General features: G+C 52.1%; 2 protein-coding genes across 7 annotated transcripts in view, besides 2 other annotated features; one reads left to right on the plus strand and one right to left on the minus strand.

Moving 5' to 3' along the window:
- The window catches only part of KCNC1 (potassium voltage-gated channel subfamily C member 1), a 48277-nt gene extending 35653 nt beyond the window's left edge, over positions 1-12624 (plus strand). Inside the window, exons 2-4 of one of the 4 annotated variants that reach the window (NM_001112741.2) lie at positions 1232-2165; positions 9023-9211; positions 11237-12624. In NM_001112741.2, the coding sequence (NP_001106212.1) occupies positions 1232-2165; positions 9023-9211; positions 11237-11301 (1188 nt within the window). In that variant the 3' untranslated portion in view covers positions 11302-12624. Of the gene's footprint in view, positions 1-1231; positions 7398-9022; positions 9212-11236 lie in introns of those variants that run through there. The other 3 variants (XM_047426916.1, XR_930866.3, NM_004976.4) reach the window with 3 other exon arrangements.
- Positions 814-1314: an enhancer, noted in NCBI's record as "H3K4me1 hESC enhancer chr11:17792794-17793294 (GRCh37/hg19 assembly coordinates)". NCBI's record gives its function as "activates a minimal SCP1, AML or CMV promoter by ChIP-STARR-seq in primed H9 embryonic stem cells {active_cell/tissue: H9 hESC(primed)}" and the evidence as "EXISTENCE:reporter gene assay evidence [ECO:0000049][PMID:30033119]".
- Positions 1315-1815: an enhancer, noted in NCBI's record as "H3K4me1 hESC enhancer chr11:17793295-17793795 (GRCh37/hg19 assembly coordinates)". NCBI's record gives its function as "activates a minimal SCP1, AML or CMV promoter by ChIP-STARR-seq in primed H9 embryonic stem cells {active_cell/tissue: H9 hESC(primed)}" and the evidence as "EXISTENCE:reporter gene assay evidence [ECO:0000049][PMID:30033119]".
- SERGEF (secretion regulating guanine nucleotide exchange factor) overlaps positions 17615-21512 on the minus strand; it is a 225000-nt gene continuing 221102 nt past the window's right edge. For all 3 annotated transcript variants that reach the window (NR_104041.2, NR_104040.2, NM_012139.4), the window contains one exon: positions 17615-17980. Coding sequence is in view for 1 of the 3 variants with exons in the window: in NM_012139.4 (NP_036271.1) it covers positions 17652-17980 (329 nt within the window). In the remaining 2 variants the exon portion in view is untranslated. The remainder of the gene's footprint in view (positions 17981-21512) is intronic.

Raw genomic sequence — 21512 nt, forward strand, 5'->3', positions numbered from 1 at the left:
CCACCCAGGGCAGGGCCAAGGGAGGCCACAGTGTGTTAGAGTCCCGGCGGGGCTGGCAGGAGACTGTGAGAAGAGACCTTGCCCCAGAATCCAGTCTGAGCAGGAGGGTTTGAAACTCAGAAAGCTGCTTGATTCTGTCTCCTCGGTACCCATGCCTGCTGCAGGCTAGAGAAGCCTAGGGGGTCATTAGATGAGGCCTCCAAACCAAACCAAAGGGTCTCCCAAACCTTTTTGCTGGGGGCTCAGGGCCAGAGCAGGTGGTTCTGGACAGGCAGGGTGATCCTGGCCATTTCCTTCTCATTGGTGCTGTCTGAGAGAGTAGGTGCCCACACATGTTTGGGAAGCCCCAGGCCTCCAGCAGCTTCTTCCTCCCTCCCACTCACACCCCTACCCTAGGGCTGGAAAGGAGTCAAGCAGAGCCTATGGATTATGGTGCCTTTGGGGATCCCTGGTGCAATTCTCCTCCTGATGCCTGAATCCTCAAACAGTCTCTCTCACAAAAGATCATTCAGCCTCTATTTGAGTACCTCCAAGGACAGGGAACTCATTACCATGTTGTGGTGCAAGTTCCTAGGAAGACAGAGAGAGGGGGTACATTTTAAAAAGCTGTCTATGACCATGGGGAAGACATACATTTTTTTCAGCTCTAGGCAGGATAGAACCTGAAAGAGACCACATGAGGGAGGTACAGACCCATGGAAAAGAGCAAAGAGCCTGGAGTTGGGAGAACAAATGGAGATCTGGCCTCTGAGGGGCTTCATTCCACTCTAGCTGCCCCCTCTTATTTCTTTGCAAACTTCAGCCCCAGCAGGCTAGCTAAATGGGCAGGGTAGCTAAATGCCTTAACAAATCAGCTCCAAATCACAGTGACTGAACACAATGGAAATTTATTTCCCACTCAGGTAACAGTTCAATGTGGGTATGTGGCTGATGTCTTTCTTTTCAGGGACCCAGGCTCCTTCCCTCTGTAGTTATACTAGTTATTGGGGCTTCCACATCTAGCTGGCAATAGGGGGAAGAAGACAGCATGGAAGGCGGAGTAGGAGGGTTTTAGAGCCTGCCCTGACGGTCGTGCAGGCCCCCTGTGCCCTGAGGAGGGAAATGTAGCACGTGCTGCAGGGGGCCTGGTGCTGGCATCTCCCCCCGCCTGGCCCTGGGACTGGACAGAGGCAACCCAGGCTTCTCCACTCTGGGTGGGCCTCCCTCTGACACTGTGTCTTTATCCCCACAGTATGTGGCCTTCGCTTCCCTCTTCTTCATCCTGGTCTCCATCACCACCTTCTGCCTGGAGACCCACGAGCGCTTCAACCCCATCGTGAACAAGACGGAGATCGAGAACGTTCGCAATGGCACGCAAGTGCGCTACTACCGGGAGGCCGAGACGGAGGCCTTCCTTACCTACATCGAGGGCGTCTGTGTGGTCTGGTTCACCTTCGAGTTCCTCATGCGTGTCATCTTCTGCCCCAACAAGGTAGAGTTCATCAAGAACTCGCTCAACATCATTGACTTTGTGGCCATCCTGCCCTTCTACCTGGAGGTGGGGCTGAGCGGCCTGTCCTCCAAGGCAGCCAAGGACGTGCTGGGCTTCCTGCGCGTCGTCCGCTTCGTGCGCATCTTGCGCATCTTTAAGCTGACCCGCCACTTTGTGGGCCTGCGGGTCCTGGGCCACACGCTCCGAGCCAGCACCAACGAGTTCCTGCTGCTCATCATCTTCCTGGCCTTGGGCGTGCTGATCTTCGCCACCATGATCTACTACGCCGAGAGGATAGGGGCACAGCCCAATGACCCCAGCGCCAGTGAGCACACGCACTTTAAGAACATCCCCATCGGCTTCTGGTGGGCCGTGGTCACCATGACGACCCTGGGCTATGGAGACATGTACCCGCAGACGTGGTCCGGCATGCTGGTGGGGGCTCTGTGTGCGCTGGCGGGCGTGCTCACCATCGCCATGCCCGTGCCCGTCATCGTGAACAATTTCGGGATGTATTACTCCTTAGCCATGGCTAAGCAGAAACTACCAAAGAAAAAAAAGAAGCATATTCCGCGGCCACCGCAGCTGGGATCTCCCAATTATTGTAAATCTGTCGTAAACTCTCCACACCACAGTACTCAGAGTGACACATGTCCGCTGGCCCAGGAAGAAATTTTAGAAATTAACAGAGCAGGTAGGAAACCTCTTAGAGGCATGTCGATCTGACCTTTCACCTCTGCCCCCTGTAGCGATGATTCCAGATCCAGTCAGACTGCTTCCTTAGTTCCGTGGGTGACCCCGGACCCCGCACTCAGTCTGGAGGTGTGGAGCCTGGGGGCCCAGGGAGATGCTGGGCGGCCAAATTCAGCAGGCAAGAGCCTGCTAGAGGAACCTCACTGGTGCCCCTGGGTAAGGAGGTTGACGCGGTTGGTCTCGTGATGTTCTGAAGAGACAACGCGGCCCGCCAGGTTGCTGAGGACTAACTTAGCAGGAGCCAGGGGGGCTCTGCTTGGTGGGGCAGGAGTCCGGTGTGAGTCTCTGACTCAGGCTACTGACCCGGTGTTGGGACAGAGTGGGGGCGGGTGTGATTTGGAAACGCTAGACAGCCTTTGATCTGGTCCTTACCATGGCTCCCTTCAGGCTGTGTAGATGGCAGAGATGGTGCATGGGATCTGGGCAGGAGGGTCCCTTGCAAAGGCAGGTGCAAGGGTTCTCACCCCCGGCAGAGCCTGTCTCCATAGCTGAGTAGAATTCCTGCCCTGATTTCGGGCTGCCCAGCTCGAGGTCCTTCCCAGGAGACGCCTGTAGCCCTCCGTGACAAGCTTACTTACCCCATAGCATGCTGAACCAACTCATCTTCTACCACCACTCTAGAGTTTAGCCTTTATCTTTAGGAACCTGTTGAAGTGACTCTAGCTTTCACGTTGTCTGTTTGGGTTGATGGTCGAGTGGGAGTTTCCGGTGACCCGATGGAAGCGGCTGCCGAGCAAAAGACTAGAGGGGGCCACCACCCTGGGCAGCTTAGATGAAAGCGCTACAGACCAGCAACAGCCTCCCACCGAGGGTTCTCCCCGTTTCCAGCGGTAGGGACTGCAGCAGCAATATAGACATCCCAACCAGTGTACAACCACTTTCCCGTGAATTCACTGGGGGCCGGGAGGGGGGAGGGGGGCATGAAACAATACTAGTCACCGTGGGATATATTCTAATATTCCATGGCTAGTGGTTTGTTATGGGACTATCTCAGTTTTATGAGAACCTGCACATAGCACATAAAGTTGATCATGGGGCTCTGGTCCGAAGATATAAAGCCCATAGTCTACCTCTACCCATGGAATACCATCGACTTATTCTGTGGACACAGGGATTTCAAAGGAACAGATGACCCAGAGAAGAATGACAGCACTGAGTAAGAAGGAGTGCCAGGTGAGCAGGAGGTTGACGTGACAGGTGGCATTTAGTCTATGAAGGACCTCCCCATGCCCAGGTCTGGCAGGAGGCTGCTGGCTAGCTCAGCCCCAGGTGGGGAAGTTTCCCCCTGGTTTGGGTGGCCTCCCCCAGTGGATGATTGATTTTCTTCCCTGCTATCGCGCTCTCTGACCCACCACCCCATCCCAATCCTCTTCTGGCTTTACCCCACAGCTATGCTGGCCCGAGCACTACCCTCAAGGCCCATTTCTTTGCCCATGGGGGTTTCCCGGTCCTTTCACCCTGCCGCATACCCTTCCCTTCCTGGGATTTCTGTAGGTGCCTGAGAGGAACATGGCCAGGGGTCTCCGAGGCTGAAACAGCTCCGAGCTCTCTGCTTTGGATTAGCTAGTTACTTGATTTCAGGAGCTACCAACAGGGCTCTGGGCCTCTAGGAGGAACGCGTGGGCTGGCCCAGGCCCCAGCTTCCATGTGGGCCTGGCAAGAAGAGCTCAGCCTGAGTGGCATCACTGTGGCACTACCTGGCCCTTCCCCTGCATCCTCCCCGACACTGGATCTTTCAGGAGTGTTGCCCCAAGCACAGGTGCCCTGGGCCAGCCAGTCAAGAATCCCCAGTGCTCTCCAGGCAGGCCCAGATTCCTCTGTACTCTTGGACAATGACAGTATTATCCTGTGCGGAGTCCCCCTGCCCCCCAGGGAGTGCAGATGTGTTTGTTCAGACATGCACACCAGCTAATCCCAGGACACAAAACCTGTAAAACCCATGCACTCCTGTGGGATTGCCCCTGAGCTCCACAGTCTCTCCCCAGCCCTGCTTTTGAGAGCCACTTTGCCCTGGTCCCAGGTTTCAGGGGCCCAGACAGTTCTGGCTTGGACAGTCTCTGTGGCTGAGGAAGTATTTGGGGCCCTCACAAGCTTGCCCTCTGGAGCTTGGATGCCTGGATCCCTCCTGCCTCCCCCGTCACCAACTGTGCTCCCAAGCCCTTCCCAAGCACTCACTTCCCGGTGGTGTTGGTGCTGTCCTGATATCCTGACCCCCGAGGCTCCAGCCTCATCCCTCACCAGAACACTTCTCCCTCCAAAAGCTGGCGTGTGAGACCCCGGCTATCCGCCACCAAGAGGAGTTGCGGTCTTTAGGGGCGTTGTCCCCACCTCTGCACCCCAGAGTTCTTCCCATTCACCTTTTTTCCTGCTTGCAGCCATGCACCTAGATGGGCATAGGGTTGGGGTGAGTTTGTGGGAGAGTGAGGGGGAGGCCAGGGGCAAGGAAGGTAAATGTGGTGGCCCCACAGGAATTGTGAGAGATGAGATGCAGCCCCCCAAGGCCTTTCCAGTCTCACTGTACCCCCAAGGCAGTCTAGTGGCCTCGCCAAAACCTGAGCTTCTCCAATTCCACTTTTAAAACCAGAGTTAGGGGCTGTGTGTGGCACGCTGGGTTCTGAGGGCATCCCTCCCGCCCCCCCAGGCCAGCCCCCAGTGGTGCCAGCAGCACCTGCCCCTCACCTCCACCTCTTGGTCTCGTCTGAAGCCTCAGTCTGTGTGTCTGTCCCAGGGACAATCTGGTCTCCTCCTGTGTGCTGTGGCTGGCATGGCCTCAGTGTCTGAGGGCTTGTCCTGGGAGGGGTATCAAGAATCCAATTCTCACCTGGTTGTAGGACCTCTTGGGGGATGCTAGGAGGGCGCCCTGGCACAGCCAGGGATTGCCTAGGGCTGAGGGGCCCAGGAGAAGCTACTTCTCTCCCAGAAAGGGGCTCCCTCCTGCATCTGCAGTCGGATGCCCAGACCGCCCACTCTGGACAGCCCACAATGCCTCCTCCGTCCTGCCATGCCCATTCGCATGTGTCTTGTCCATCTCCGCTCCTGTGATGTGGGTCAGTCCTTTGTGGTGCCGCGTCCAGGGCTGCAGGGTCCCACGTCAGTGAGCAGTGGGTGGCCGGTGGAGGGGGTGGTGGTGGCCGGGCTCCCTTCCTGCCCATGGCACCTAGAACAGCAGTGAGGTCTCAGAGAAGCCCCCGCCTGGGCTCCCTGGGAGCTAACCTTGCAGCCTCTGGGTTATCTTTGGCAAAGGGGTCTAAAGTCCCCTATCCCCAGCCCCTCTACTTCCCCTGCTGGGCAGCAGTGGCTGCCCAGTGAGTGGTGCTATCCATGGAGGGGGGAGGGAGCTGGGCAGCGCTGACTAGGCGGCGGGTGGGGCTAAGAGAGTTTCTGCAGGGACCCAGCTGCAGGGTCAGCAGCCTGTGGGCCCTGAGTGGGGTCTTTGTTGTCCTCAGGTGGGCTGTGGGGGAAGTAGCGGAGAAATGAAGTGACGCCAGGGGCCAGGCATGGGTGTTCTTTTCCGTGTTGTTCACATTTTCTCTCTTTCTCTCTCTCTCCACTAATCATGTTTCTCTCTCTCTCCTCGTTTTGTTGCATGACTTGTGCCGGTTCTCGTGATTGTTCCCTGCTCGTGTCTCACAGACTGTCCCCATTTAGCCTGAGACTTTTTTCCTGAGTCCCCAGCTGGGCAGATCCCTCAGGGCTAAACCCAAGGAAATGCCCAGCAACCCCCAACCCACCCCAGCCCCGCGTGCGCCCCTCCGGTGCCCGCAGCTGGTGTGAACAGTAAGTACTTTGGCGGTGCCTGGAGACCAGGGCAGAAAAGCCAGCTGTGCTGACTGAGGGCCCAGCCTCGGGTTCTCCTTGCTCCAAAGTTTAAAAAAAAATGACCCTCTCGCAGATGCTCATCTCAGCCCATTTCAAGCCTGGAAACCATCTCTGAGACGCTGCCCATGCTGCCATTTCATCACTGCAGGCCTGTGGGTCTAGTGGGGGCCTGGGGGCCCTGGGCTGGGGGAGGCAGGGCCCCCAGCCTCTGGAAAGCAGGTGGGAATGGAGGCTCCTAGCCACTATCTCATCCAAAGGATGGGGCAGGGGCGGGGGCTCACACCTTTGACCCTATTCATGGGTTCCCCAGATTTATACAGTTGGCCCCTCGTTGGTTTCTCTTTCTTCAAGCCACCCCTCTGGAGTTGGGGAGGGAGAATGCCCCAGTTTCTGAAAGCATCTTAAACCATAGATAGACGAACAGCCCAGGGGCCTGGGCCCCTTCACAGAGCAAGACTTAAGCTTCCCCACCCAATCATTAGTCCCTCCTCAAAGGTTAGGGTTGAGAGAAGCAGTAGGCCCTAGGGGTGTCCCGGGAATCCCCCAGGAGGGAAAGGTGCCAGGCTATCATCCCTCCAGGGATCCCTGATGGATGTTCCTTGTCCCCTGCCCAAAACCATCCCGAACTTTGGGCCCTTTAGTGATTGTGAGAGCTGGGAGCCCCCAGGGCCTGGGGGCTTGTGGACAGAACCAGTGGGCGGGGGCCCAGCATTCAGAGCCAGAGAAGGGTCTCAGGCGGCACCATCTCCACAGAGGCAGAGGCAGAGAGAAGGCACCCCCCTCTGACCCACCCCTCCCCAGGCAAGAACTGCAGGCTGTGGACACCTCCCCTGGCAGAGGATGGCCAACAGAGACTCAGCAAGTCCTCACTCCCCTCCCAGAAGGAGACGCTGCCTGGGAGGACCCACTGTTCTCCCCTTGAGGAAAATCCATGCAGGGTGCTATGGGCCTCAACCCCCACATCGTCATCCGCGTCCTCTCCATACTGTTTCCCTCCCCTCTCCCAACACCCTCCTCCCTCAGCCCGGAGACCCTTGGATGGAAGACTGGGCCAGCCAGAGTGGGAGGCAGGACCAGCGTGTCTGCGAGCACACGTGTGTGCCTGCAGACATGCCCCAAGACCCCAGAGACGCCCCGGCCCCAGTCACATGGTGTCAGAGTTACCTTGGCAACTGGCCTTTTTGGTTCAGAGTAAATTGGGAAGTGAAGCCCCTGGGATTTGTCGAGAAACGCACTGTACGTGAAATGCTTTGCCATCTTGTACGAAAGACTTTTTTTTTAAGTTCCAAAATTATGATGGGATTTTTTTGGATTTGCTTTACGAATAAATCTGATTGGTCCATTTCTCTTTTGACTGACTGCCTCTTTGTAGTGACATGATGTGTACACGGGCGGTAATCCCACCCACGTGCACGCCCAGCGTGTGCACGTGGGGAAGGATCACTTCTGCGTGTAGTTACATGATGTGAACAGGATCACGGGAGAGTGTTCAATCGGGTGGACATTGTCTCCAGCCTTTTCCCCCCACTCTACTCTTTCAGAGAGCCTCCCCTGACGTGGTCGTGCCCAAGTTGGTTTCCCTCTTCCACAAAAGGGCTTGTGCTTGAGGCTGTCACCCTAGATGAAGTATTGGAGTTGGCTCCACCCTGGCCAGGAAGATTCTGCTTTGAGGGCAGAGAGTTTGGGGCAGGTTCGGTCCTCAAGAGTGATGGGATGGGGGCAAAGGCCAGTCAGGGCTACCTCTGTCAGCTCCAGAGGCTTCCACGGCTCTGCTCCGAGATCGCAGAGAGACAGAGCTCCTTGCTCTGGCCAAAGTTTGCCCCCCACCAAATGTGCTCCCAGACCTCCTCCCAGGCTTCTTCTCAGGCTGCCACAGAGGCCAGAACTCCAGTTTCCCCCACCCAAGTCCATCAGCCGCTGTTGTCTTCTACACATTCATCTGCCTTGCTTTGCCGGGGACACTGACCAGAGGGGACAGAGGAATGGGAGCCCCTCCCAAATCCATGTCCTGCTGCCACAGCCTCATGCATACATCCTTGTTGTGCCTGTGCAAGCTGACCAGGCCTGCTGGGGACAGCATGGAGTGGAAGACACTGGCTTGATATGTGTGGGGACCAGAGCAGACTGAGTGATCAGCTTGGGTCCGTCCATGTGGGGGACGGAGCAGATGGAGTGGTCAAATTGGGTCTGCATGGGCAAAGAGGAGACTGTGTGACCAGGACTGGTCTGTATGGGGGGTCGGGGCATAGAGTGACTGGACCAGGTCTGTGTGGGAACAGAGTAGACTGTGTGACCGGGCCTAGCCTGTATGGGGAACAGGGCATACAGAGTGACCCGCTTGGGTCTTTATGAGGTTGGGGTCGGGGGGGTACGGGCGCAGGCTGAGTGATTAGATGGGGGGTGGGGGTGGTGTGAACCAGGTGATCAGATGAGATCCAAATGGGAGATGGGGTAGAGTAGATGAGATGGTCTGTATGGAGCTAGGGAAGCCCGAGCAACTGGCTGGCTGTGGACGGGAGGCAGCCGGGCTCTGGTCAGCAGCAGAGGGGTCCGGAAAGGCCCCTCTCTGGACTGGAGTGTTTCTGCGTGTCTGTCTGTCTTCTCCCTGAGCTCTGTGTCTGGCTCTCCCCCATGACTGCATCCACACCATCCTGTTTCATCGGCCCTGCTTGGGGCCCGGGGCCGGCCCCCAGCACCACACCTGCTGGATCCATCACCAACTCATCTTTTTGCAAACTTTGAGCAAACCCAGGAGTCCCCACTCCCAGCACTGTGGGCAGCCCGAAGGCTGCCTGAATGAGCTGAACCCCCCACCAAGCCCCCTGCCTTGTGCCCTCCTCGCTCCACAGCCTGCCCGCTTTTCCGTCCTCAGGGACGCTCAAGCTGCCCTCTGCCAATACCCCGCTTCTGGCCTGTCCCCCCCTGCCCCCCACTAAACAGTTTTCAGTGTCTCAATAGCTTCTGCTTATATGTTTGAAGATTCCAAACTGAATGGGGAGGTGGCGAAGGCCGCGCTGGCGAACGAAGACTGCCCCCACATAGACCAGGCCCTCACTCCCGATGAGGGCCTGCCCTTTACGCGCTCGGGCACCCGCGAGAGATACGGACCCTGCTTCCTCTTATCAACCGGGGAGTACGCGTGCCCACCTGGTGGAGGAATGAGAAAGGGTATGTAGAGGAAGCTGGAGCACCGTGCATCGTCCGGGCCGCCTCGCGCTCCTGCAGATGGGTGGGCAGGGCGGCGGGCAAGGGCGCTGAGGGGCAGGCAGGCACACCGAGGGGGGCAAGGATGGAGGGAATCTCCCAGGGTCGGCCCCTGGAGGGCTGAGGCCCTTCCCCCCAAGTGAGATGTCAGGCTGGCAGAGAGAACTTGAGGCCCTGGCAGCTGTGGGTTGCTGGGAGTTGAGAGGGGATTGGACAGGTTGACTTTAGGCCATGACCCCAAGGCAGGGGTACCCAGGAATGCAGGAGGAGCCTTGACTCCCCCAGGCTGCTCTTGCAGATGGCAGGTCAAGTCCCAAAGGCAAAGTGATCTCTCCTCTCCCCTGATTGAGGAGGGCAGTGGAGTGGGCCAGGACCCTGTGAACTTAGCTACACAAGATCCGTGTTCTTGGCATGGAAGAGGCATCCTTGAAAGATAATCAATCCACAAGCCAGAGGGAGGAGAGGCAAGAAGAGAGAGATGTCTTCAGGGCTTGGGGGTAAGGCCATTGTCCTTGCAGTCAGAATATTGCTAGTGGCAGATCGAGAACTTGCCAAGAGAAGGTGGTTGAGCAGGACGGTCCTGCCCCTTCCATCCGCAGCACCCACAGGCCTCTGCCCAGGGTGTGGTCAGCACCCTCTTGTGGTTGGCGAAGGCTGAGGCTGCTGGTGGCCCCTGCTCCAGGTCTCTTTGTAGTCAGCACGCTAGGCTGTCCCCACTGGAGAGAGAGGCTTCTCCTAGAGCTTCAGCACCGGCCGGGGAGAGGCTTGGGGTGGGGGCCCAGGGCGCCCGAGCTCAAGGCTCCAGGCACTGGCCCGGACCTAGAAGGCAGAGGGCACCTTTCTTGGTGCAGCAGACTGGCTGGGCAGCTCGTGCATGTCTTGGAGTGCCTCACACGTGCACACGGATGCATGCTGAACGGGGTGAGCAGGCTGGGTCAGAAGAGGAGCTGGGTTTTTGAAAGCAACAGTTGGTGCAGCCTATGGTCATTCACAACTGCTCCAGTATTTGAAGTGATTAAACCACACGCAGGAGAAAACAGAATGCAAAAGCAAAGGCAAACCTAGAAGAGGAGAGGCAGCCCGCACGGAGACGAGGGAACGTGGTTCTGGTCACTGGTGCTTAGTTGTGCCCACCTGGTCTAGGCTGGTCTCTGCTTCTCTGCCCTGCCCAGAGGTCCTTTGAGCCGGGGCACGGTGCGCAACTCCCCGCATGGTGCTGCATGGCGGAGGGCTGCCAGCCTTCGGGAGGGTCCCATCCTTGGCACCGGCCATGGATGGGCCTGATGTTCCCCTTTGCGACTGGCTTTTTCCCAGTTGGAGGTGCTAGAATGCCCAGAAGCAGAATGCCCGAGGAGTGAGGGGAAAAGCAGGTAGACGGTTCCCAGTGTCTGTGCCCTGCCCAGTAAGCTCTCGTGGGCTTTCTGTCTCCATCATCTTGAATGTTAGACTGATTGGTGTGGCCCCAAAGAGCAGACAAGACAGTCTCTTTACTGTGGTGCCAGAAGCACAGAAGGGAGTGTGGGACAGGAACAGCGCTGCTCCCTGCAGTGGCTGGGAGTCCAGCGGTAAGCACTGTCCACAGGAGATACCCATTCCTCAGTCCCACCGAGGCTTAGGTGCCAGAGTCTTTGGGAGGCGCTAAGGGTGAAGTGTCCCCACCTACATCCATTCGGCCCGCGCTCTCATGGAGCCACGACAGCCGCCGAGGACTTGTTTTTCTCAGGCTAATTCTGAGCCAGAAGGCATGCAGGTGTGTGAGTCAATGTGCAGAGCAGAAGTAGGGACTCATCCCATTCCCCCAGGAGGGAGAGAAAGAGGCGTGCTAGGCTGGCTCAGTGCATGGGCAAACCAAGCCAGCTGGAGAAGAATCTGCCTGCCTCTGCATGCGGCTGTTCTGTCTTTCCTCCTCCTTCTTAAAAACTAAGTACCAAGCGGGATGGGAGAGCCAAGAAGAGAAGCTCAAGTGTTAATTGTATTCTTTACATACAGATCTTTGCAAAGAAAGCCCTGTCATTGCTAAGTATATGCCGACAGAGGCTGTGAGAGTGACTTGACCAGGCGGCTTGGCCGAGGACACTGGTGGCTATTAAGCATCTGGGTGGACCTGCAGCCCCTCCTCACCCTCGGACAGAGTAAATTCACGCCATGCAGGTTTGCCGGACGAGTCCGAGTGGCCCAGGCATTGTACTAGGACGGACGTAGCTTTTTCTACGGCCAAATGGTAACTGACCGTAGAGGATTTCTTTTCCTTCTTTTCATTTTTTAAAATTTTATTTTATTTGGGGAGGGGGGGTGGAGGGGCTCCTTAGCATGACTTGCATGAAGTTAAACAGAAAACCCAGCAAACCAAACCCACCAACCCCCTGCAACTGTATGATTACCCTGAACAACAATAATGAAAAGAAAAACATCAAAGCCCTCTATTTTCTTTCAAAGCTCTTGACTTTCACACACGTTGTTGGAGCCAAACTGTAACGGCGTTCAGTAGAAACCTGTACATTTCTGGGGGTGAGGGGCGAGGGGAGGAGGGACAGAGATGGGGAATGGATTGCTTCCTTTTTGTACACAAGATCAAGAGGAAAGCTTCCAAAAAGGGCAGTCGGTCAGTCATCGGTCATATTGACCTCACCTTCATAGTTCATCTCTCACGTGGAAACTGAGAACTTTGCTCCAAATAGAATTGTGGAAACTCGCACGGCTGCCTTCTTCCCCGTTTGGCATGCTTGTGACCCAGCGGATGTCTCCCCAAGACCCCTGACAGCAGCTAGTCTAGGTTGATTCTCTCATCTTATCGGTGTGTAGATCCAGTGTGACCAACTTTCATAACAAATTGTTCATAGTAAATAATCACCACCGTATGGATTTTCCAAGTGTTCCATTAAAACCAGGATGTAGAGCACCAAAAGATCAGGACCACGGGAGGAGCAGCCTCCTCCACCTTTACTAAGGCACAACCTGGCATTGTATGCAATTTAGTACTTCAGAGTAAAAACCTGCATGCCCAATGTTATGCAAAGCGATTCTAGCATGAAATAAATTTTGTATCATGGTTTCTGTATAGTCTAAAGCAGATTTGTTTTCCTGAAGCAGTCGGAGGTTTGCAGAGACACACTTCTGCATCTCGAATAAATATAGTATTTTCCCAACAGAAACAGAGGACAGTAGCTTGGCTTTGGTCTGATTCTAAAATTAGTGGGGTGGGGGGGAAGGATGATATTTTTGAAAAACACATGCTTGAGTTGAAAAAAATGCAACATCTCAAGCTTTCACTGCAGCTCACAACATTTCCTGGAAAGAGAGCAATGATGCTTTAGCTCAACAACCTCCCCTCCCTGGGCCCTGGCCCCCAATAATAAAAAACTGACTTTTGAGATGAAGCATGAATTTGGGTTTTTATTGCCTTCAGGCAGTGTCGTGATTCTGGTCTGGGCCTCTGGTCCCCTGTGGCTGGGCTGGGGGTAAACCTGGGCCCTGGCTGCTCTGGTCTCAAGGATCCACCCTTAAGGTGCTTGTCCTCTTGCTGGGGGAAAGTCAGGCCCTAAGGAAAAAGTTGTCCTCTGCAGATTGGTTGGGCAGGGTGGCCCCTTGGGCTGCAGATCCTGTTGGGTCAGGGGAGGGAGGCAGCTTTCAAAGGCACAGGGCTTATAAGGACCTAAGACCAGCAATTCCTCTAGGGGGTTCACCTGACCAGGAAACTTCTCCATGAATCATGCCATACTGATGGGTCCTTGAATCGGGCCATGTTAGAGCTCCCAGCCCCTTATGCAGACCGTGGTCACCTCACTTCTAGGGCCATTCTTGACTCTGATGAAGCCAGAGGTAGGGTTTGACTGTCAGATCTGGGTGCCCTACCCAGCAGAACCCTTGCCAGGACAAGTCTGAGGGATGCCCTCATCACATACCCCTCTCTCGGCCTGGAGGCATCTTGGGAGGGGTAAAGCCCTCTCCTAGGGATCGTGACTGTCTTGGGTTGTTCACTTGGTTTTGGTGGCAAAGTGGAGGTTTGGGGTTCCAATTCTTTTCTATCCATTAGAGACTTCAGGAATGTTCAGGTGGAAAGCGTCCATAATGGTCATGAGAGTCAATCTATGAGCATTTTCCAGATGAGGAAATGAGGCCCAGAGAAGAGAGGGATCTGCCCAGGGCCACAGACAAGTAGGTGTCAGTCTTCCCCTGATTTTTTTTCCCTTGATGCCTCCCAGCATGGCATGAGTCCATGATCAGATGGGTGGGTGGGAAGCTTCAAGTGTGTATGAAATTCTCATCTAACAGTTTTTCATCATCTCCAAGCATTGGCCTCAACTTCCTGATGCCCCATGCAGTCCAGGAAACAAGGGGTTGGGGTCCGTGGAGTAGTGAGTACTGTCAGGCCTCTGCCCGGGGCCCCTACCAGGGCTGCCACCACCATTCATAAGCATCAGGATGCACAAGCCAAGTAGCCTCCGCTGCTGCAGGGAGGGTAATATCCACTCTACTTAGGGATCCACAAGCAAAGAAGTGCCCTGGTGGACTCAAAGTGGGACTCAGCAAAAAGCCGTTAGGAATATGGGTTTCCAGGGACACAGCAGCTAATGGGGAAAGGGAATTAACATGAACTGAGTATCTACTACATGCGGGCATCTTACACACGTTATCTAATGACAGCTCACAATCACCTAACAGTCCCATTTTACAGGTGAAACAAGGTGCAGAGAGGTAAAATAATGGCCCAAAGCCACAGAGCCAATGTGTGACAAAGCCAGGGTTTTAACCCAGGTGGTCGGAATCCAGAGCTCAAGTTACAACTGTCTCAAGCTACTTGAGGCCTTCAGGGGCTGGCCATTAGGGGTGGAAATGATAGGAACACTAGAGTGGCTGGTCCTAAATCCCAGGACCTCAGGACCTGGCCTCCTGCCCTACTTCATGAAGTGCCATGAATGTGACAGGAGGGAGCCACTTCTGATCGTGCCCCAAGCCTCCCCGACACACAGCTGGCCAACCTCACTCTCCTGCTTAAACACCTCGTTGCCCTAAGATTGGAGTTTCAGCTCCTTCAACTAGCTGGCAAAGCCCACTGCCTCACCAGCCGCTCCTCCCTCCTCCCTCCGCACTGCAGTCACTCTGAAATTCTGAACTTGTAGCAGTTGCACGGACCCGCGCCCTCCCTCTATCACCCCCACCCCTAACTAACTCCCTAACTCCCAGTTTCAATTGATCACGAAGTCACTTCACCCAGAAGTGGTGGATGCCTGGGGCTGATGAGAAGGCTTTAAGCCTGAGCCCTAGGCCTGGATTCACCATTCCTAAGCACAATCTCACCCAAGGCTGATCTCATGGCCCTCACAACCCACCAGGGCCAAGGGTGGTGGGGGTGTCAAGGGATGATGGGGTACTTGTGTTCAGGAGGGGAGGGTGAGTATGGTAGTTAGGGAGGGAGACGTCCCACCAACATCTGGTCTGTGCTTGACCTTCAACCATCACTCCAGGGGCCAGGCCAACGACCAGGGAGCACAGAATGGGGCCTGCTCCCCTCTTTCCCTTCCTTCTCACACAGGAGGAATATGAAGACTGATTCACTTAGTTCACTGAAGAAAAGTAGTTTTTAAAAATGAGTATTTTCTCAAATAGCCACAGTTCTTACAGCACATTAGCTTACCAGGTGAATGATGTTGTCGTAAATTGACTGTCAAATGGTTATGATATTTGTAAAAGGGCTAAAAGTAAAGGATGAATAGTGACGAGAGGATCAGAGAGCCCACTCATTTAACCTCCCCCCTACGGTGGGTGGGGTGTACTGATGAATTAATTCATGGGCATTTATTGGGCACTTCCTCCATTCCAGGACCCCTCCTTGGCAAAGGGGTTCCAAAATTGACCAAGACCTGGTCTCTTGCTCTCAAAGAGCTCACAGGCTATTAGGAATGAGGGGCTTGGACATCTACAAAGTCTGAGAATAACCAATAGCAATCAAAGGGTGCAGAAAAAAAATCTGGGAGACATTGTCAACACCTCCTCACTCATTATCTGATGAGTGCTTTCAGACACTCATCAGATTCAGCCAGTGAAGGAGCATGGAGAGCGCCCATCTGCCCAACACTGCTGTCGGGAAAGGCAAAAATGGAGGAACTCAAGGTGATGGGATGGTCTATGATGTCTTCTAGTGCCAACAGCCATTCATCCTTCCACATGTGGATTATCTGCACCTGTCTGCTTCTAAGAAGGGTTTGACTCAGTTCTGAGAGTCTGAGGTTCTGCATCAAAGGGCTCGGGCTAATGCACCACCTGATCCTGTTTCAGGCTGGGAAGGAACTCTGAGACACTTCTTTTTGGTGCTCACAAGGAGGTCATGGGAGAGGCATTAGGACTCAGCAGCAGAGGCCTTGGGATTTTGGTTTCTTCCAGCAGGTGCTGAAAGAGGTAGGAGGGAGCTCTGAACTGGAACCTTGTGAGAGAGAGTGCGTTGGTTCTTTGTGAGTAGTAACTGTTCAGGCAGTACGGGCCTGAGTGCTATCCGGTGTGGGATTGCTTTCTGGCCTGTGTGTCTGATACAGGCCTTTAGGACAGTGGGTGGTGGGCCAGTGTCCTTGGGCTTGCTCCCATATGGATCACCTCTGGGCCATCTGACTGCTCCATCTCTGTGGTTTGTTTGGTCACCTTGGCAAGTCAAGCTCCGAGTGCATGGAGATATCCTTCTTCCCATTCCTCAAGTTCTTGGAGACTGTACTGGCCTCTATTGGTCCTGAGAGGTGGGGAACCAAGGGATTTGCTGGCCAGGGCAGCCATGTTTCTAGGGTACAATATTGAGAGGACTCCATGCACGATGTTCAAGGTCAGCCTGTGGCTGTCAGTGGTCTCTATGTTCAGGCCTGGGAAGCTCAAGATTGTCCTCATCCTCCTCTCCTGAGCTGAACTCACTCCTGGTCCCAGGGCTACTCTCCATCAAACCCTTGTCTCACTCAAGGACTTAGCTGGGTCACTTCCCAATCAGGACCCTGGCCTGGTAGTGAGGTTTATGACCTTGAGATGGTCCCTTCCCCCCTTTTGGCCTCCATTTTCCCACATGAACAAATGAAAATGTTGAATAAAATCAGTGGTTTTTAAACTTTCTCAAGGACCTCTTGTCAAACGAAATGTTATGTGAAGCCCAATATAGAGAAAAACTAAAGCTGCTTGGAATAAGATGTGTTGGGGGGCGGGGGTCGGGGGAACCTGGACCTCTATCTACCTGGCCTCCTTGACCCACAAGGTGGCCACTGAGTTCTCAGGAGACTCCCAGGGCTCTAAAGGATGCAGCGTGACGGCCACTAGGCTGGATGGTCTTTCAAGGGCCTCTAGCTTTGGTATCCTGGGATTTTGTAACTTGAAGCCACTGCAGCCCAGCCCTCACAGACTCATTCTGAGTCACAAGGAGGCAGCGTGGGATGGGTCACAGACCTGGGCTGCCTAGCTGGTGATACTGCCACATGGTTCTCCAGAAAAAGTCCATTCTCTGAGGTCCTCCGGCAAAAGGCTTGCTGCGAGTCACAGCAGAGAGAAAGGTCCTATGTCCCCCAGAGCCACAGGGAAGTCAGGGAATGGGGATCTGGCCTGGTCTCCATCTTACCCGAGGGCCCTCTTCCTGTACAGGCTAAGGCTTGAGGGGCAGACGGTCAGGGGTCAGAGTCTTTGACGTTGCTATCCCTACAGACTCCCCTTCACATGCTGTGGCCTGTCCCTCATCTGAAACAGTATATTTTAGCAAGTATAGTCACACAAACAAGCTCCAGCGCCTTGGCTGACTCAGATGAAGAAAAATCTGAGAGTTTCGTCGGTTCTAGCCTCTCTTGCTGTCCTAGGGTTTTCCTCTACTGGGTCTTCCCGGAAGTCTTGACTCTTCCTCCACATACGCCTCTCTATTCCCCTCCACCCCTACTCCAGAACCTTCTCCCTCACCCGCAGTCACCAAGATAAGAGCTCTTTCCTGTTTAAGTATCCAGTCATCTGATCAGGGTACCTCGATATCCTTGAACTAGAAAACCATGTGCTCTGGGCCTTAAAAATAAAACCCCAGGAGGGGCTGCTCTAGGCATGGCCCAGGAACCCTTTGTTTTGCTGAATTGAAGGCTGCTGGGCCAAAATAATGAAGGACCTAGAACTGGGTTTTCTATCTCCACCAGGCAGCGACAGGCTGGAGACTTCCTACTGGTGTGTTAGCTTTCCATATCTTTAGTGAAGACCTAACCCCTCATTCTCCTCTGCTGAGTAGAAAGCATGTCTGTCTCCTTGAGCCCCAGGCACTAGGCAAGCAGCCTGCCATCATTCTGGTTTGTGGTCAGCCTAACCATCACTGCCTCCTGAGCCCTTCTTCGGCCAACCCCACAGCCCAACAAAACAATTCTCTGGGAAGGCTTTTGGTGGGAAAAGCCACTTTATTAAAGATTCTCTATCACAGTCCCCCATTTCTGGACCAGTCAGATTGGCTTTGGGTTGAAGTTTCTGATTGTCTTTCCTTCCAGTTTCTCTCTTTGTCCATGGCTTTCTGAGATTCAGTGTCCTCGATGGCATCTGGGGAAAGGTAGGTGACCTTGGGGTCCTGGACCAATGCAGGGTGAGCTGGCAGCTGGCAGAGGGCCAAGGAGTGGCCAGCCCCACAGCCCACAAGGAGTCCTGACGATGACAGCAGAGCCTGCACCGGCTTTGGGGCCCAGACGTTGGCTTCAGTGCCATCTCCGCACATGCCATGCTCATTCCAGCCCCAAGAGTAACACACTCCACCTGTGAAGGAGAGGGAAGACTGCTGTAGAAGAGGTTTTGGATAATAGGGCTGAAACATTCACCCTGAGGGTACAGGTATCATCATAAACCCCAGTTCACTCAGGAAGACGCCAAAGCTTAAGGACACATGGCGGCATCCTCCCCATCCCTACTTCCTTCCCTTCCCCTGAGGGCAGCTGCCCTCCTGCCCCTGAGGCATGCTTCCCATTCCCACAAAACTCATGACTGCTCATGTTCCAAGCGTGGCTTTCCTCCTCGGCCCTTCCCTACTGTCACCACCACATATAATCCATCACCAGACCTACTGACTCTGCCTCCAAAAACATCTCAAATCTTTCCCCATATTTTTCCATCTCCTCAGCCAGCTCCAGCCTCATCCAGGCCACCATTTCTCTTACCTGGGCCATGCCAATAGCCAACTAACTAACCCAGCTGCTCACTCCATCCACCCTGATCTTCAAAGAGCATCAAGACAATCTTCGACAACTGCAAATCTAATCACGTGTCACTCTGCTGCTTAAAACCCTTCAGTGCCTTTCCATGGTCCTTAAGGAGGCCTTCCCTTGGCCTGTGAGGCCTGAGTGATCTGGCTCCTAACTATCTTGGTGTCCTCACCCTGCACAACTCTTGCCCTCCCTCTTTGCATGCAGAACCCTGGCTTGTTTTCTGTTCCTTAAGTATGTCCAGTAGGGCCTTCCTATCTCTCAAAGCCCTCAGTTTACTGGGCTTCCAGACCTCTTCATGTTTTCCATTCCAGTTGTCGCTCAGAGGCCAGGGTCCCTGACCACCCAATCCAAATCAGATTCTCATGACTGCCCTTGTATTCTTCCCTCATGAGGATCTGGCACTCTGTAGTGAGGGATGATTTGTGTGGTGATGTGTTTACTGTCCCCTCTTCACTAGACTGCACTCTGTGGTGAGGGAAGAAGCGTGTATACTTTCTTCACTGCTGTATCTCTAGGACAGTGCCTGGTACACAGTTGGTGCTCAACAGGTGTTTACTGAATAGATACAAAAATGAACAAATTCATACAGCCAGAAAGTGGCCAAGCCAACATTCATGCCCAGGTAACTCCAACAGTCCACCCATCATAACACGTCTTCCTAGGTTTTAGACACTGTCCTAGGTCTAAACTCATTCATGTTTTTCTGTGGTCGTTTAAAAAAAATCTTCTGGACATAAAAATAATACATCTTCATGACAAAAGAAAAGAAAAGAAACAATGGACAATATGGATGTGTAAGGAAAAGCAAACTTGCAGAATCTTGCCCTTGCCACTACTAGGAATATTTTGGATATCTCTTTCAACCCTTTAATTTGTGAAATTTATAAATATTTGTATATATGTTTGTCCTGCTTTTTAACATTGTAGCACAAATATTTCTCCATGGATTGTAAAGTATTCAAAAAGTAAATTAAAATTAGCCAGACATGGTGGTGCATGCCTGTAATCCCAGCTACTCAGGAGGCTGAGACAGGAGAACCACCTGAACCTAGGAGGCAGAGGTTGCAGTGAGCTGAGATTGTGCCATTGCACTCCACCCCGGGTGACAGAGCGAGACTTTGTCTCAAAAACAAACAAACAAAAAAGTAAATTAAAAATAATTTTCTTCTCAAGATGCATTAAAGAACAGAAAATAATTTAATAGAAAGACGCAGATCTCCACCCAGATTAAGAACATTAGCTAGCATTTTGCCATATTTGCTTCAACCCTTCTCTTAAAAAAAATCTTAAAGATACAGTTTATGCCCCACCTCCCATTCTTGTCCCTCTATCCAACCCTCCTTCCCACAAGTAACCACTATTTGAAGTTGGTGCACATCATTTGCATGGTTTCATATTTTTCTACATAGATGTGTCCTTAAATATTGTGATCTGTTTAGTTTGTTTTAAAGACTTACACAAATAGAATCATTCACATATTTTTTTTTTTTTCTGCAAGTTGCTCTTTACACTCATCATTGTTTTCGAAATTTATCTGAGCTGGTAGTTACAGATCTAGTTCAGTTATTTTAATTTTAACTGTGCATAGTATCCCATTATGTATAAATCATATTTCACTTACCCATGTCCCTTCTGATGGCTAGTTATTTAATAATATCATTGTTGCTGTTTTATTATATAACAATGGAAAATATATAGTATTATGCAACAACAATACTAATATGGTTGCTATTATAGACAGTATTGCAATGAAAGTCTTTGAACATATCTCCTTGTACAAACTGGTATTTGTACAGGGTGATCCCTGGGAGTATATGAGTCATGCATGTATATGTAAGCATGTTTATGTTTAGTAAGTGTGGCCAAATATCTCTCCAATGACTAGACATTTATATTCTCATCAACAATAGATATGAATTTGTTTCCTTAGATCTTACCTTTAGACTCTTGCCATTCTCATGAGTACGTTCAATTAGTTTGCATTTCCCTGACTACTAGTGAGATGGAGCAGTAGCGCTTTCTGTTGATTACCCGTTTAAGTTGCCTCTTCTGTGAATTGTCTATATACATTCTCTGTTTTGTTCTTTGGTTGTTTGCCTTTTCCTTATTGATTTGCAAGTATTCTTTGTGTATTATTTTGTTTCTATGATTCTTTGTTGTTATGTGCATTTGGAAGTATCTTCTTCCAGAAGTCTGTGGTGTGTCTCTTCACTTGGTTTATGGTGTCTTTTGTTATACACATTTACTTATAATGGCTGCCTAATTACCTATTATGAAGATTAAACAATTTACTTAACCTGCATTCTATTATCAGATCCATAGGTTGTTTCCAATTTGTCATTATTTTATATAGCATTGCTATGAACATCTTTATGCATGAGTCTTTGTCTGTCTCTCTAATTATTTTCTCAAATTAGATTCTTAGAATGGGAATTCCTGGTCAAAGAGTATAGGCATTTTTGAAATGCCTGAGTACTGTTTTGAGTACTGCCAGAATACTTTTCAGAAAGGCTACTTGCATATAACTTCAGCAATCTGTGAGAATCTCTGTCTTACTCTAGGACTGCAAGTTTTTAATAGTATTATAATGTTGAAAGATCTTCCTAATTTGAAGACAAAAATGGTATCTCTTGTTTTAATATGTACTTTTTGGACTACCATTGAAACAGAAAAATAATTACAATGTTTATCAGATATTTATATTTCCTCCTTTGTGTACTATCTGCTTATATCTTTTTCCTGGTTAGTACAGAAGAGTTTAGAACTCAGGCCCAAGAGCCAGATGAACTGGGTTCAAATCCCAGCTTCGCCACTTACTAGTTGTGCCGCTTCAAGCAAGTTACTTAGCATTTCTATATCTCAGTTCTCTCATCTGTTCAATGGGGACAGTAATACCTTATTAGAGTTGTTTACAAGGGTTAAATGAGTAAGTATAGTATATGCAAAAGACTCAGAATGGCGCCTGGCACATAGTACTACATAAATGTTTGTTATTGTTGTTGTCACCTATTAAGAGCTTTGTTGTTTGAAAGACTTTGATTTTAAGAATATTAGTTCTTTCTCTGCTATATTTAGCATTACTTTTT

Source organism: Homo sapiens, chromosome 11, assembly GCF_000001405.40.
Source record: "Homo sapiens chromosome 11, GRCh38.p14 Primary Assembly".
Classification (NCBI taxonomy): domain Eukaryota; kingdom Metazoa; phylum Chordata; class Mammalia; order Primates; family Hominidae; genus Homo; species Homo sapiens.